Source organism: Homo sapiens, chromosome 1 (genome assembly GCF_000001405.40).
Source record: "Homo sapiens chromosome 1, GRCh38.p14 Primary Assembly".
In the NCBI taxonomy this organism is placed as follows: Eukaryota; Metazoa; Chordata; class Mammalia; order Primates; family Hominidae; genus Homo; species Homo sapiens.
The window spans coordinates 70,034,952-70,052,837 of NC_000001.11; the positions used below are offsets into that span (position 1 = coordinate 70,034,952).

Genomic DNA, 17,886 nt, shown 5'->3' on the forward strand with positions numbered 1-17,886 from the left:
CCTTGGCAATATATAAAATTTATAGTAAGAGTTTCTGCCTGTTCATTATACCAACCGATTAGTTTTAAGACAGGACTTTTTAAATTTACAATATTTTTGTCCTCAAGTATATTTTTTTCTCTGATTTAACAAAATATTTCTAAATATTTTACATTAGTGCCCCAAACTCACAAGATACTAATGAATTAAAAAGCTGAAAAATTCTCATTTGAATTAAAATTAATCTTAAGGGAAAAGAAGACATAACGATAGCTGCTATGCATAAATATATATCACTACTTATGGGCATAGATAATGCATTTTTATATCTAGAAGAAAGTGAGAATTTGGTATTTTACCTTCCCCTAATGCTCTCCACCCTGCCTGGTTAACTGAAAATAGTAATTTGAATTGTGGAAGTTTAAAATCTTGGGTTTTCTACATGTTTATTTGTCATTATGAAGTTATAGTCGTGTATCGATGTTGCTCGTTACACTCAAAGAAGGGATATAGAATGAAGATTTAGTATGCTAGATTAGGTGTGAGAAAACCAGGAACCTCTGGAAGAACACATGATAGAACTTGAGAAATTGAGGAGATGATCACTTGGGATACAGTAGAAAGTTAGGAGGAAAGCGGTGGGAAGAGCAGGATTTATAGGACCCGACAGTGAAGTAATGTAGCTAGGGATGCACAAAAAAAAAAAAAAAAAAAAAATCTTAATTGGTCAGTGATATACTTTCCTCTTAAAACTCTTAGAGTTAACCACTTAGAACAATTACATGTGTATATATCATATTTGTGTGAATCATACTGCTCATATATGGCTTATCATAATTCAGTCTGGTGTTCTAATGAGTTATAGCTCATCTCTCCAACTAGATTATAAACTCCCAGAGGGCACCAGCCACATTTTGTCTTTCTTTGGAACCTCCACAGTTCATTGCACAGTGCCAGGCATATAAACAACATGCAAGAAAAATTGATGAATAAATGGACTCACTTACATTAGAAAAAAAAAATTTAATGCTTAACTCAGAGATACATATGGTTTATTTCTCCCAGTGCCTCACAGTGAACTGAATTCTAGAGTCACATTTTTTAATCTGAGCCAAATAAAGATACTGCCACTTTGGTTAACCATTGTTTAAATGTTTACTTTCCTTGTCCTGTATTATTATATCTCTCAGGATTCTTTTGTTCATCCAGCTAATGAAATGAGGATTGGGGAACTTCACCCTTCATTAGCTGAGACCCCTCTGTACCCACCCAAACTTGTTCTGCTAGGGAAGGACAAAAAAGGTAACACTGTGAACCCAATGTGGAAAATATGCTACAAATGCATGTGCATGATGAATCGCCAGTTGTAAATTATGATACACCATATTCTATACAAATGTTTTACAAATATGCATTTCTAACCTTAATCGGTATGGTTTCCATTTTTCATACTTGCTTTTCCGTGTAATTGTCAGTGTCATAGCATTATAACATTTTCCCCTTTAAATTTCAGAATCAACTGATGAGTCTGAAGTTGACAAAACTCACTGTCTGAATAACAGTGTTTCCTCAGGCACTTACTCAGACTACTCGCCTTCCCAGGCTTCCTCAGGATCCTCTAATACCCGGGTTAAAGTGGGGTCCTTGCAGACAACAGCTAAAGATGCAGTACATAATTCTTTGTGGGGTAACAGGTGTGTTTAGAATTCCCTCCTTTTGTTCCCAAACGTTTATTTTCAGCAACTTTTTAAAAAATGGAATCTTCTTAATTTTGGAATTGTATTCGGCACACAAGTGGCATAGAAGACAGAAGGGGCAGGTAAGCAAATGTTGTTCGCCTGGGACTGCCAGGAACAGATGAATCCACCTTACAGGGAGAGGCCATTGGTTAAGGAAGACATGGTAGGAGTTAACAGGATGAGATGGTAGAACAAAAAATTTAAAAAATAAAAAAAAATGTGTTTGCCCACTGATACTTATTGATGAGACATGGATGTTTTAACATACAAAATGGCATTATGAATTAAAATAAAATGCCAGTAAAACACTTAGGTGTCTGGTCCAGAGTAAGTGTTCAATAAATTTTCATTGCTATCGTCATCATAATTTTATCACCACCTGGAAAAGTCAGGATGTATTTTTAAGTACTTAATCTTTCCAAAATGCCTCCTCCTCTATATTACTCTAATTTTACAGATGAAAAAACAAAAACCACACACAGAGCACAATAAAGTGACTCAATAAGGCAATGTTTTCCCAGTTCTAATTCCATTTTGTAACTTGTTGCTATGTTTTACACTACAAATAGCAAATTAAAATTGTTATATAGGTAGTCAATAACTTTTACTCATATTTTACTGATAATATTGCCACTGTTGGCAATGTCTTCTTTAGTAATTCATGAGTAACTTTTCCTAATCATTGATGCTCATAATAAAAATCATAACTCTTTCAGTTTGTAAATTCATTATTTGCATTATCTCAGTATCTGCTAGAAATAACATGGTCAGTGGTACAAACATGTCAGTGATCTAAAGTCATAATATAATTTACATTCTACAAAACATACCTGAATATGCTCCCTATACAATAGCATTTAGTGTCTTCAAAACCTGACCTTCAAATAAAAGTCATCTGAAGACAATTTAGATTCATCAGATACACCAAGCATTTGTAAGAAAGGTACTCTCGGCCAATAGTTTGAAATGTACCAAATCAGAATCTCCAGGAATGGGTATCAGGAATCATATGATTCTAATTATCAGTCAGGTTTCAAGACCATTACTTAAGAACTACATATTTCCTTCATTGATTCCTTCAACAAATGTGTATTTAATACCTACTATGTGCCAGGCATTAGTCTAGGCCTGCAGAGAAAAAGATCTCTACCATTGTGAGTTTATATTCTAGCAGAGGACACAACACAAGATACAATACACGTAATAGATAAGTAAATTATATAGTATATTAGAAGGTGATTATTACTAGGAAAAAAAAGTTAAAGCAGGATAAAGGGATGGATTTTTAAAATATGAAATAATAATACTATCTTAATCATAAGTCAGGTGAGGATTATTGATCAGTTAAACAAAGGATGATGGCCCTCTTTGCTGCTTGTTCTCTTTCTGCCAAAGACCCAACTCTTCGTCCTTTTCAATTTCTTCTTCCCATTGTGTTCACAGGATTGCACCATCTTTCCCACAGCCTCTTGATTCAAAGCCATTACTCAGCCAGCGGGAGGCTGTTCCCCCAGGCAATATACCACAGCGTCCTGACCGGCTGCCCATGAGTGATACTTTCACTGACAACTGGACTGATGGCTCGCATTATGACAACACAGGGTTTGTTGCTGAGGAAACCACAGCCGAGAATGCCAACAGTAATCCTCTCTTAAGTTCGAAATCTAGAAGCACATCTTCGCATGGACGCAGGCCTTTGATCAGGCAAGACAGGATTGTTGGTGTTCCCCTGGAACTCGAGCAGTCTACACACAGACACACACCAGAAACAGAAGTGCCTCCTTCCAATCCTTGGCAGAATTGGACCAGAACCCCTAGTCCGTTTGAAGACAGGACCGCTTTTCCTTCCAAATTAGAGACAACCCCCACTACCAGCCCATTGCCTGAAAGGAAAGAACATATAAAGGAATCTACTGAAATACCTAGTCCTTTTTCTCCAGGCGTACCATGGGAGTATCATGATTCCAATCCCAACAGGAGTCTTAGTAATGTCTTTTCTCAAATCCACTGCCGCCCGGAATCTTCTAAAGGTGTTATTTCAATTAGCAAAAGCACAGAGAGGCTTTCCCCCCTAATGAAAGATATCAAGTCTAATAAATTCAAAAAGTCACAGAGTATCGATGAGATTGACATTGGTACATATAAGGTGTATAACATACCATTAGAAAACTATGCTTCTGGGAGTGATCACTTAGGAAGCCACGAACGACCGGATAAGATGCTGGGACCAGAGCATGGTATGTCCAGTATGTCTCGAAGCCAGTCAGTCCCAATGCTGGATGATGAGATGCTCACCTACGGAAGTAGTAAGGGGCCACAACAACAAAAAGCTTCTATGACAAAAAAAGTCTATCAGTTTGACCAAAGCTTCAATCCTCAAGGATCAGTGGAAGTGAAAGCCGAAAAGAGGATACCACCCCCTTTTCAACACAATCCCGAGTACGTGCAACAGGCCAGCAAAAACATCGCCAAGGATTTGATTAGTCCTAGAGCTTACAGAGGATACCCACCGATGGAGCAAATGTTTTCATTTTCTCAGCCATCTGTGAATGAGGATGCTGTGGTGAATGCCCAGTTCGCAAGCCAAGGGGCCAGGGCGGGCTTCCTGAGAAGGGCCGACTCCCTGGTGAGCGCCACAGAAATGGCCATGTTTAGAAGGGTCAATGAGCCTCATGAGCTGCCCCCAACTGATAGGTACGGCAGACCCCCATATAGGGGAGGGCTGGATCGCCAAAGCAGCGTTACAGTGACTGAGTCCCAGTTCCTGAAAAGGAATGGCAGGTATGAAGATGAACACCCTTCATATCAAGAAGTGAAAGCTCAGGCGGGAAGTTTTCCGGTTAAAAACCTTACCCAAAGGAGGCCATTGTCTGCGAGAAGCTACAGTACAGAGAGTTACGGTGCCTCCCAAACCAGGCCAGTTTCAGCTAGGCCTACTATGGCAGCTCTTTTGGAAAAAATACCATCTGACTATAACTTGGGTAACTATGGTGACAAGCCATCAGATAACAGTGATTTAAAGACGAGGCCTACTCCTGTGAAGGGAGAGGAGAGCTGTGGTAAAATGCCTGCAGACTGGAGACAACAGCTGCTTAGACATATAGAAGCTAGACGGTTAGACAGGGTATGTCTGGTGTTTCTCTGTAAGAATATCCCTCCTGCCTTTAGTGTTACTTTATTGGCATTTCTAAGCACATGTAGTGAAGCATGAACTACATGAATGAATTAGATGATCAGTATTTTATTTATCTTTATATTGTGGGGAAAATGGATCATAATAGTTTTTCATGGATGTGGCTAAATGCTCTTTGAGAGTTCATAACCTGCAGGTGAATTATTCATCAAATCTAACCCAAATATTGTTAGTAAGAAAGAATTCAACTCCATTAGAGGGGATGGTGCTTCAAATGCTTTCTAGCCATTAAGGCAAAATGCCTCTCCTAGGACGCAAAACTGTTCTCTAGTGACCTAAAGAGTATGATTTTTGTTGAACCTATAAAAAGTGGATATTTCCCCCGTTTCTGGATGGACTCACTTATATTAAAGTCAGGCCTAATTTGTTTATAAAATTTGCACATAGTTACTGCTATGGGACTACTAGTTATTATTTCTAATGAGCAATAATTTTCCCAACAAGAAACAGAAAAATAAGCAGGGATTGAATGCCCTCCTACACATTATTTTATTTAATAAAAAGCCTGCCATTTAGAATGTTGGTTTTTATATAGAAAGAAATATTTAAATTCAGATTATACTACAGACAACAAAAATAGTTGATGTCTTTATGAAGACAGCAAACAAAAAATTAGTATGTATATTGCAGCAAAAAAGAAAATTAATTCTAGTTCAGTTAAAAATTGAGTCACAATAGGCGAGGCATGGTGGTTCATGCCTGTAATCCCAGCACTTTGGGAGGCCGAGGCGGGCGGTCAGGAACTCGAGACCAGCCTGGCCAACATGGTAAAACCCCATCTCTACTTAAAATACAAAAAAAATTGGCCAGGCATGGTGGCGCACGCCTGTAATCCCAGCTACTCGGGAGGCTGAGGCAGGAGAATTGCTTGAACCCAGGAGGTGGAGGTTGCAGTGAGCTGAGATCACACCACTGCCCTCCAGCCTGGGTGACAAAGTGAGACTCTGTCTTGGGGAAAAAAAAAATAAATTGTGTCCACAATAAAGCATGTAATATGCAGGGATCAGGGACAGAAAAAAAAATCATATGATGCCTAGAATTACATTTTGTTGCCTGTTTGAATCTCTCTAAGAGAAACCTGTACTCATTTTCTAGAACTATCTTCAATTGACCATCGTCATTCAGTGTACTTTGTGGCTTTTAGGGTAGAGGGCTTAATGTGCTCTGCATTGACATTAGAATCTTAAAGATCTTTTTGGTGAAAATGGGGCTTTTTGTTCTCATTTTCTAGGGCTGAATGCTCAGTGTAAATTGGGGATCTGGGTAATAATATACTATCGCATTGTCTCACTCAATAGTTTTATTATTTTATTTGGTGTCCTGCTAAAAGCACAGGTCACTGCATTTATTAGGTATTTCTTTAATACTGAATTTTACGTTTACAGGTTTACTCTTTTCAAATAATTATATTGCTTGTAGGTCGTGTCTACATGACAAGAAAACAATTTTTTTTAGGGAAGGAGTGAACTAATAAATGTGGGTGTGGGTGTTAGTTTCTCAATGTAGAAATTGGTTCTGCCTTGCAAAATATTTCATCAGAATGTCTGTTTCAAATAGGTTTGCTCAGTCCCATTGAAGGGAGCCTCATCAAAGCCTCATGACTGGCTGTCAGTGGGAGACACCTGGTCGGTTGTCACCATGCCTTACCTCAAGTATACCCTCCATGTAGACAGATAACTTGGAGGGCGAAAATATTTGGGGCCAAATAATACAGTACAGTTTGGGAACTCTGGCCTCGTGTAGACACGACCATACGTAACAGGGTAAGATGAACTAGTCAAGAAAGGTTATAAGAAGCTTTTTGGAGCATATGTACAATGACTAGTAATTTGAGGCAACAGAGGAATGAGTGAAAACAACTAATGAAAAGGAAAAGATAAAATTCTAAGCATTTGGTTCCATCACTTAGTTACTGGTGTCCCAGATCAATGGTTCCTCTCCTTTGACCCCAGCGACTGAAAAGTGGGCGACTCCTCTAGATGAAGCAAGAATTTTAAGCAGGAATATAGGGTTAGGGGAGAGAGATTTGAATCAGCAAAAGTTTGGAGGCCCTGCCTATCCCAGATAACAAAAAGCAAACTCATGTATTTTTCATTGCTATGATGACACTTCCCTTCTGAGTTGATCTTCATATAACCTCTGTTTGTGTACAGTTCCCTAGGTGTCTTTCATTTTTCAAAGCAATTTCAATGTACATTCAATAGCTTCTCATTTAATTCCAAGAAATTAACTTACCTTAGAGTATTGCTTTGAGTCATCAGATCCTAGAAGCTCTTTCTTTTGTTTTCGCCAAGTCACATTTCTTTCTGTCTTTCAGTTGAGTTACTGAGCTATTCAGGCTATATCTTTCATAAAACTTCCCAGCTACTCAACAAGATGAATTCAGGGTACTGAAGCACAGACTTATTATGTAAAACCAGTTTCGACATAGCTGTGCTACTTAACATTCTGTCCAAAGGCAGACTGCACCAGAGAAATAATGTGCTTCTTTCCCAGTGAAATTTAATTGGGTCATTTGAACCCTCAAAATCAAATAGTTACACAAGAAATTACAAGATCTCTGTCCATTCTACGTAAAAGACAATTGCCTAGAGTCTTGGACATTGGATAAGCATAACAGTTCAACATAATGTTGGTGAAAGATCTAAGTGTTGACCTTGAAGAGGCAGCTCCAAGAACTACCCTAGATAAAAGATGCTTGTTTCCTCTTTTAGTTTAACCACAAGACCCATGCTTTCACTGCAGAGCCACACTATGACAGGGAATTTAAAACATGAACCCATATGTCTGAGACTGCTTCTGTTCTGCAGAAGCTGAGAGAGCACTAGACTGGAGGAATTTTAAACCTTAAGGAATTTTCCAAGTGCTAGATTGAGATGTTCAGTGTCTTTTTCAATTTTGGCATGGTGACAATGGAAAATCTCTATATGAAATAATAATGAATCCATAACAAATATGATTGGTAGACAAGCACACCATCAGGAGGATAATAATCTTTCAGCTTCACTCAATGAAACTTTGATGCTAAAAATCATTACTTTGATAATATTGCCCTCAGAATAGAATAGCTACCTGCTGCTAATGTTCAGTAATATTTGGCTTAGAAAAAGTGTGCTAAGTTAACTTCTGTGATTTTTTTTTTTCCAAAATGAGAGAATTACTTAAAGGGGCCAAATGCTGTCAATGATTACATTTCCATTGTAGATTGAAGGAGGAGATTGTACTGTGCAAACAATTTGATAACAGGGTATCTAAAATTTTACATCTAATTTTCAAATAAAGTTTTATAGGAAAAAAATTATCTATCAGTCACTTAAATGCAAATACCACCAGAGTGTTCTATAGGTATTTGTATATATTAGATAATTAGCATTAATAAATCAATAAATTATAATTGCTTTAATATTACTATGAAATTTCTTTAGTTTAAAATATAATTTTTAAGAAACAAAAAATAGAATATTTGGATCCACATAAAATGTATTTGATTGGTTTAGCTGAATTAATAAGTAAGTTCAATCAAGCCTATGGTAAGCTCAAATGGCATTTTGACCAGCTGTTTTTCTGAGTTGCTGTAATTATGCCTACAGACTGAGCAATGAAGGAGACTGATTTTGGCTTTAACATTGCAATGCATTAGCTTAAGACAAAATTAGAAACTAATATTTGTCTTTCACAAGTGATGATCTCACAATGTGAAAGAGAACAAAGATCTGCAGCTGGTAAAATTTAAGGTCTCACTGTTCGAATTTTTAAATGAATAGACTACCACAGACGAATAATACTTGTCCAAAGTCACTACTATCACGATGTATAAGAGACAGAATTTATGACGTTGAGTTAGCAGCAGATGTAAAACAGAATGTATCTTCTTTGCTTTTTGTCTTTTCTGTAGTTTTGGATGGTACTCATTATGTGCATAACTAACACTGTTTACTGTATGCTTCTGTCTGATCAAGTGCATGTTTTTTTAAAAAGTTACTGTTTGCCTGCCTAAAGTTAAATGTTATAAATTTAAACATGTTCATGTAATTTATCAGTTTGTTGAGCATGTGTTCACACCCTGTCACATGATTATTTCCTCTACTCAGAATGCTGCTTACAAACACAATACAGTTAACCTTGGCATGCTGCCCTATGGAGGTATTTCAGCAATGCATGCAGGCAGAAGCATGACTTTAAACTTGCAGACTAAGTCTAAATTTGATCATCAAGAACTACCTCTTCAGAAAGTAAGTATGGACTGCCCTACATGTGTCAGCATACCAAAGCCAATTAATGTTGTTTGTTCACTTAATGTGTTTAGGCTATACATACAACCCTGCTTACTATAGGCTCCTATGAGTCCAAAAAGCACAAGGGCAAGTAATGTAGAGCCTGAACTCTTAGCCGCTAAATGAATATTTGTAGCTGGACTGATTATCAGGTTCCTGCTTTTTGGATTGAGCTTTGCTTTTTGGATTGAGCAGGTACATGGCTTTTTGTGTTGCTTCAAGGTTCATTTTTCTTATTATTCATTTCCTTTTTTCCTCCTTTGTTTTTCTTTATTTTGTGTTTATATATATGTTTTTTACTTTTTTGGAGATAGTCCTATCGTCCTGGTGATGCATTCTGAGAACAGAGCTCAAAATTATTGTTGGATTTCAACTGATTCTTTTGGAAAAGACATAGATTCCTAAATTAGGAGAATTAAGTAGCTGGTACTTATAAGTGCTTCTTCAGCCCATTTTTTTGCAGGAACTGTAACAGAAGAAAAATATGAGAAACAAGTTTGTGGCTTAGGAAACTAGGTTAGTGGAAAAGTAGCAAGTTTGCATGGTATTAGATGAAAATGTGGGAACACTGAAAGGGAATATACTGAAAGAGGAAACATTTCCATTGTTAAAGGAAAATTTCTGTTTGTTTAATTCAGCCAAAACTGAGAATGCACATTTTACATTTAGATCGATTAATGCCTTCTGTCTTAGTTACATTTTAGTGGAAACCAATGAGTCATTTTCACAGTATGTCATTATGCCTATATATTTATATTGTCATTAGCCTAGTAAGTTTTTATGAAAAAGCAGTGCAAAGTAGGGATAATAGAATGACAGTAACTTCTAAACACTTCTTCCCTCTTAATAAAATGAATGAACATTATGACTCACCCCATCAAAATGAGGGTCATAAGACCTCAAATTCCTGTTTTATTGTTAATCTAGTTTTTTAATAACATTCCCAAACTGTGGACAGTTTGGTTCATACTGTGAGTAGAATAACAAAATCAAGAAGACATTTGTAGCCACAGCTTTTTTATCACTCACCGTAACTTTAAAAAAAAAAACACTAAATTGAAAACTTTTGAATGTTGTTTTTGCTGTGCCCGGTCTATACTGCAGGACCAGTGGAGTGCTGGTAACTTTCTCTCCAAGGAGAAAGACAAGGCCTTGATTTGTGGTATCTGCCAATGTCAGCAATATAAATACTCTCCCTATGGCTAATTTCAAGGTACCAACTTAATGTGACTGAACTTAGAATTGGGAAGATTCACGTGCAGTTGACTCTCATGAGCCAATACAAATTGGCTCCAACACACCATCAGCATGACTATTTTTACTTGAGTTCCTACTTTAATGAAACCTGTTCTTCATGTCCTCTCGGATGCCCAAGACTCTCATCCTCTTCCCTAAAACAAAACCAGTTTTCAAAAAGACCTTGAAACTTAACTGCATTAAGGAATAGATGAGATATCACAACTTTAAATAGGCACCTTTCTTATAGGGCTTGCTAATTAAATAGAAATCAAACCTTGTATTAGTCTGCTCTCACACTGCTAATAAAGACATACCCAAGACTGGGTAATTTGTAAAGGAAACAGGTTTAATTGACTTACAGTTCCACATGGCTGGGGGAGCCTCACTATCATGGTGGAAGGCGAAGGAGGAGCAAAGTCACATCTTACATGGCAGCAGGCAAGATTGCTTGTGCAGGGGAACTCCCATTTATAAAACCATCAGATCTCATGAGACTTATTCATTACCATGAGAACAGTATGGAGGAAACTGCCCCCATGATTCAATTGTCTCCACCTGGCCCCACCCTTGACACATATGGATTATTACAATTCAAGGTGATAGTTGGATGGGAATACAGCCAAACCATATCAAACCTTTAAACTAAAAAAATTGAATTTCAAAATTCAGTGAACAAATTAAAGAGATCTTGGCATGATGGAAGCTATTGCCTGAACCCCCCTGAAGTTATATCATATGAAGATGCCCCTATTTGGCTTAATTTTTGGCCATATTTACTTATCAATCTGTATGACAATATAGATATATACAGTATCTGAAAATGCCAATACACTTGAAACAATGTTTCCTAACATCTAAATTACTCTCCAGATATAAATTAGATATCACTGTATTAGCATATTAATTTCCTGATGTCATTTGGGGTACCCTAGAGAATGGACTCACTATTACTGCGAGCTCTAAGAAGAAATAATACAGAGTTATATTTGGGGACTTTCAATAGTCCTCAGTTGAGCACAGAGATGACCAAAACGAATTCTCTTTGGAAGCTACATTAATTGCAAATCAAGAATCATTCAAGTATTGAAAGACTCCACCTCAAAATAAATTATCGTCAATATTTTATTATCTGCACCAAAAAAAGAAGAAAAGTAGAGAAGGCAAGGGAGGAAAAAGATACATAAGCAGGGCAAGTAATGCATTACTCCAAAAGATTTTATGATCCAAAACTTACCACTTTAAGTCCTATAAACTTTAAGCATTTAGGCATCTGGGACAGCTTTCCCACCCCATCACCAATGCAGGAACCTTATCAGGCACTGGATAGTTAATCAGCTGCAATAATAGCTCTGGGTTCTGCTTCCTCCCACGAATTCCAGTCTAAGCTTCTGTCCCTTCACTTTTGTACCCTGATACGTCTCTTGTACAGAGCTTTCATTTGAAAATTTGTTAGGTTTTTCTGCCACACTCTAGAGTCAAACTCTCTTTAAAATGCAGTCTCTCCAATTATTCCTCCTGGGCGCCACTGACCATTGCTAACAGGTCCCATGATTGAGGTTCAATTTCCCTGAACCCTTCTCCCCAGGAGAGGAGATAGGCAAAAATTACTTAACTTTGATTTAGAAATGCATAAAAATCTGTTATAACATGTTTATCTTTCTACTTAAGATAGTAAAAATTACCATCTCAGGTCCTTAAGACTTCTTTGCAGCCCCTAAATACTCATTAGCCATAAGAACTGTACTAAAATATAGGGTAAGACCAATTTTTAAACAAACATTTTCAGCAAATAAAATTGACATAAATGTTTCTTCTCCTGTGGAAATTCTGAAGCTGTCTCTTTTATTCATAAAATTATTGAATGATAATACTAGCTATCTCTAGTTAGATGCTGTGGCAAGTGACTCTGGGGTGTCCTAGAAAGAATGAAGGAAGTTTCCTAAGGAATCTGTTTTCACCTGTTAGAATTTAAGCACTGGAAATGGAGTTGTAGTATCCATTTGTGCAGGTGCTGCTCTCCGAAGGAAACATGTATCCCCACCCTCTCTGTTTGCCAAGGCTTGCCTCTTGCAACTAGGACAAAGAAGAAACTTTTTTATATTTCTTGTCCTGCACCAAGGCTGTCTTTAAACAAATTTGTAATAAACTAATTAAAGGATATAATTATTTGTGAATGAAGCTTGAAGAACTCTGCACTTGATAAACTATTTACATAGTGAATATTTATATGAACAAAAAGGGAGCACTCTTCAAGATTTTGCAATGTATTTTAAATATTTTTCATTTTTTCATATTTATTACATGTCAGATCAAGTATGGTATATTTTTCATGTATTACAAGCTAAATATAGGCTTTCTATACTATAAAGAGTAAATTACATCTTCTATAATTTTATAGAACTCTTTCAGATATTAAGAAAATGCCAACAAATATAACAAAATTAGTTTAATAAATTTAATTTCCTTAATATATTCATTTATTTAGATGCTTATGCTAATTTCCCAGAAAATTTAGTAATACTTAGGAACCAGAACATTTAGAACATATAAATCTTTTATTAAATTATAGAATTATTAGTATTTTCTATTGATTTTTTATTCATTCATTCAGTCATTCATTTATTCATCTATCATTTATTTACTGCCTTTCCAAAAAGCATATAAGGCAACTTTCTATGATGTTACTAATGGTTCCATGTGCTTCTTTGGATGTGTTTTATTTGTAATTAAGCTTAGCTATCGTCTTGAAATTTTATGTTGTCATAGAGAAATACAAATTGTAAAATGCTAGTTCAAACCAGCATTTTTAATATCAAAATTAATGGTAGAATGGATAGATATTTCCACTGGGAGAATAATAAAGACAAGGATTTATTGAGAATCTACTATGTACCTGGTGCTATGAGGTACTTTAACTATATTTTGTCTTGCAACTCATAAAACCCTCAAAGTACATATTTATCTCCATTGTATAGATGAGGAAACTGAGGCTCATGTGTTACACCAAAGAACTCACCTGTATTGTCACTGTTTCACTGTCATAACTCCTGCACTTAGCATAGTAGTAGGTAGAATTTAAATCTGCTTCTGCCTGGTGCCCACATACATACTCTTTCTACTCTATGATGATGCTTTCTCAAATGTTTGTAAAACCTAACATTTTCATAGAACATGACTCATAGGTTAAAAACCTCTTCCATACACATTATTACCTCACATCATCTTCAAAATAATCTAGAGAAGTAGATATTATAGGATGGAGAAAAGAATACACAAGTAGAATATATTAACTAATCCAAAACATATCATGACCCCAATCATGCCCTGTGTGCTACAGGTTAGTGCTTTCTTAGTTAGCTGAGTTTAATGAATGCCAGTAATTATCTTGTGCTTTTTCAGATCCACTTGCGTTTCCTGAGCACTCAGTATCACCAAGAATTATTTTTGGTAGCAGTGAAAGGCTTAAGGTTATGGATCCAAGAAAATAACTCATTAATCATCCAGGCTACTGCAGCCCTAGACACAAGCAGGGCTGGGGAGAAAATCATTGGCCTTTCCTATCCCCATGTCTGCAAGTGGCTGGCTGCTAATATAAATAGTGTGGTCTCTTCTATAATGGATAAATTGATAATTTTCTCTTGTTCATTTTTTAATTTCTACCACCATAACAGCATACCATAGCATCCACTGCTAGTTGGCTTATTGAATTAGGCATTAATATAAATTAATTATAATTTCAGGTGAGGGAAGGCTAAAATAGTAGAAATATATGTAATAAATTATCTTATCATAGAATTTTGCATGGAAGAAATTGGCCTCACTATCTGTTTTACTAAAGTTGATTGAAATTAGTTAGTTGATATTCATCCTACCAGATTTTGAGTTAGAGAAATTTAGATAGCAATATTTGCACCTAAACTATTTTTAAATGTCTAATGTCCTTTCTTTCTGGATATATGCAAATGACTCAGTATCAGATAGTACCAACATTTGGTATGCATTTATTCACCCTAGTGCCAAGACTTAGTGGCTTATTTAATGCAGTTTTTTTCTGCTGAAAGCAAAGCAAGATTTACGCTGCACCTCAGGGCAACTCATGCCTATAATTTCTATTGATTCTGCTGCATTTATTATTGGCTACCTGTCCCTCAAGAAAGATTCACTTACCTTTCTAATTATGAAAAAAGCTTTCAGCCTATAAATCCAAATAAATTCTTATAGACAGTGACTAAATTTACCAAAATAATAATTTAGTACTCATGTGGAATTTCGTTATAATGGAATTCTGGTTTAAAAATAACTTGGGCATTATATTACCACCTTCAGATTGAAGCCTATGAAATCACTGTCATTTAGATCCAGGCTTGGCATATTTTTACCTTTGTAATACCTATTTTTTCCAAAAGATAAGATGGAAATGAATAATATAACAATAATTTCACTGGAAAAACTTTGGGGGAGATTGTTTTTAACAATTTTTACTGCAGATTTTTGAATCTGTGGTAATGTCCTTTATGAACCATGTGCCAATTATTTAGCAAAAGAGATCCTTGTATTCTTAAGAGATATGCCCTGAGACCTTTGCAAATTGCCAAATTCTAATACCACTCTCATATAATTGTAATAATAAGTGTGATTTCACAAGCATACTGTACACCCATCAATTAGCAAAGCTGCTGTACCATCTAAGCTTATTTAACTCACTTATGTGACTACTGTGCACACACATGTTTATACACACATATATACATAAGAACACACATGCATGCACTTACTCATACAAATGTGCCGACATATATAGATATAGAGAAAGAGGCATACATATGCATGCACGTTTATGTCTCAGCAAAATTAGAAATTACTTGATCAAATAGACACTTGTGATCATTCATAGCAGTCAAAATTACGAATGTTAAATCCACAAATACCCACACTCATCTTTGGGCATAGCATTTGTTCCACAAGACTTCTACTCAGCATTATTGCATGTCTTATCAAATACAATTTCTGATTTTTCACTAAATCACACCAGCCATCTTCTGTATTATTTTGAAATATTTAAAGACCTGCAGAATTTAGAAGCTAAGGAAATAGTGCATTGTGATGATTTTCTGTGTTATTATATTTAGTTATATATGATGAGGAAAATAAAACTCATTCTTACTCCTTAAAATATCCAAAGAAAATATCAAGAATGTGGTGCAAAAAAATAATTGAATTAATAGCTGAACCTCAGTTCAATTATTTTCTCTGGAATATTAAATTTCAACAGTGATAGCTTCATTTTTTTAACATTTTTCAGTAGCTCCTTTTAGCCTTTAATAGAATTTTAACTGCTGAGCTACTCAATTTATATACAATAGCTATACTCCTTTGGGAAAGAATATGCACATGATTCTCTTTTTGGTCTGCACCACCACAACCACCACCATCACCAAATGTCAATAAATTGTTTTTAATGATCTTTCTATTTCTGCAGACTTAAGCCATCCCTAAGGTGTCTCATGCAAGAAAAACAAAAAGGCCAGAGTATTCTTAAAAGGAAATTGCTTTCAGGAATTTCCTTTAATTTTGCTACCTAGTGAAAGTATCTTTTTAATGTGTCTGCATGTTTATGTTCCTTTTGGCCCCTGTAATAGAGACTTGGTGTGATTGTTAATTCTAATTTTGAAAAGAACTAGATTAATTTATAAACTAGTGAAGCACCTACACCATTATATTAGGATTTTGACTAAAAGGATTTCACATTTTTTAACACCAAAAAGAATTTGTAATTCTCAGTTTCTCTGTAACTGGAAACATGTCTGGGTGGAGGAAATACAGATAGAGTTGGGGAGGATGTGGAGAAAAAGGAAACCTATGTTAAATTGTGGCCACTTCTTAAAAATCTACATTGCACAGACCTGGCCAAATGAACATACTAATTATCCCACTTCACTAGCAAACAAACTAAGTCAGAAAAGATAAATACTAAAAATTCAAAAAGAAAACCCTGGCCAGTAATGCTTAACCTGAATAATTATGTTTTAACTCTTAATTTTAATTTTTATTTACCATATTTTAATATCTAGAAAAAATTGTGTATGGGCATATGTAAACATATTAATCTGGAAAAGGTAAACACTAGAAAAGTGATGCTGGAAAACAGACAGTCGTTGAATAGCTACCTGCTAATTTTGAAGTAACACATACTTTAAACATGTTGTCTAGATTGAATTTTTCAAATAAACACACACCAATTCATTCCTAACTCAGGAGCTTAAATTCAGTACCTTTTTTCTCTTTTTTTTTTCATACTTTTTGATAGGCTTATGAAAAAAGAATTCACATAACCAAAGAACAAGAAGAAAACTGAGTTAATTTTCATTATATCCATTAGATCCTAGGAAGACTTCATCTAGTGTCATATTAAATCCTATTTTAGAATTTTTCCAAGCAATGCCTTTAAAAAAATGCTTGTGGTTAGAATGCAGGTAAGGAGGTTCTATCATTGTTTTTCAGAAGAGAACAAACTAAGACCACTCAATATAACCAGATAAAGCTTAGCAAACGCCCATTTTTAACATGTTTTGATGAGAATAGCCCAGTTCTCCCTTTCTAGGTAGGGTAGGAGGACAATTCCTTACACAAAATATAGCTGCACACTCTCTAGCTGGGCTTTATCAGTAGGGATCCTTTAGAACATGTGCAGAAAATGGCATAGGAAACACTGGAGTATAATAGCTCAACCACAGAAGAATTCCCTCAGGAAACCAAGCAGTACTTGTGTATCTTACACACTAGGGAAGAAAGGAGCCTTTGTGAAAATATATGTAAATATACCATTGTACATCCCTCCACTGGAGGCTTTCTGATGGTATGTGATTGCTTGCTATTACTAAGGTTAGAATATGAAATTCACCCAAAATAAAGACAGGCAGGTATTAGTATTTGTTAAAAATAATAAGCATGAAATCAGCCAAAATAAAATATTTATGACGAGTTTAAATTTTAATATATATCATTTATATAAATAAATAAATTTGGTAATCAAAACAGTCATGATTTACTTACACTACGATTCTAATAGCACATTTTTAATAGCATATTTTTGATGTCCCCCCAAAGCTATTTGTTGATAACGCCATAGTACCATAAATCTTGCACTATGCCAGTGTTAGCACTATTTGGGTTTAGTGCAAGGCATATTCTCCCAGAATCAATACAACCTTATAAAATTTATTTTAGGTTATGGCTTAGAATATTAGAACTTATATTCTATGTATTGTATGGTTTCAATTTCTATTCTAAATGGTGAGATTATACTAAAATTAAGCAAGTTTTAAGTGCTGTGTTTTTAATAATTGTAACAATTGGTTAATTTTATTCTGATTATTTTTATTCAGGTACTGTAAATAATCTAAATTTTTCCTTAAAATTCAGTGAACAACTCTAAGATGGTTATTTTAATTGCATTTTTCAT

At 35.4% G+C, this 17,886-nt stretch overlaps 1 protein-coding gene and 1 long non-coding RNA gene across 7 annotated transcripts in view, besides 1 other annotated feature; one reads left to right on the top strand and one right to left on the bottom strand.

Moving 5' to 3' along the window:
- The window catches only part of LRRC7 (leucine rich repeat containing 7), a 576,443-nt gene that overhangs the window by 467,030 nt on the left and 91,527 nt on the right, over positions 1-17,886 (top strand). For 4 of the 6 annotated variants that reach the window (NM_001330635.3, NM_001366838.3, NM_001366841.1 and 1 more), the window contains 3 exons: positions 1,170-1,281; positions 1,493-1,673; positions 3,162-4,842. In NM_001330635.3, the coding sequence (NP_001317564.1) occupies positions 1,170-1,281; positions 1,493-1,673; positions 3,162-4,842 (1,974 nt within the window). Of the gene's footprint in view, positions 1-1,169; positions 1,282-1,492; positions 1,674-3,161; positions 4,843-9,002; positions 9,144-17,886 lie in introns of all 6 variants that reach the window. The other 2 variants (NM_001370785.2, NM_001366839.3) reach the window with 2 other exon arrangements.
- On the bottom strand, positions 1,015-7,308 carry LRRC7-AS1 (LRRC7 antisense RNA 1). The gene is made up of 2 exons (NR_187366.1): positions 7,147-7,308; positions 1,015-4,013 (listed from the first exon to the last, which is right to left on the bottom strand). It is a non-coding gene; the product is annotated as an LRRC7 antisense RNA 1 (long non-coding RNA).
- Positions 2,908-3,547: an enhancer, noted in NCBI's record as "NANOG hESC enhancer chr1:70503542-70504181 (GRCh37/hg19 assembly coordinates)". NCBI's record gives its function as "activates a minimal SCP1, AML or CMV promoter by ChIP-STARR-seq in naive and primed H9 embryonic stem cells {active_cell/tissue: H9 hESC(naive and primed)}" and the evidence as "EXISTENCE:reporter gene assay evidence [ECO:0000049][PMID:30033119]".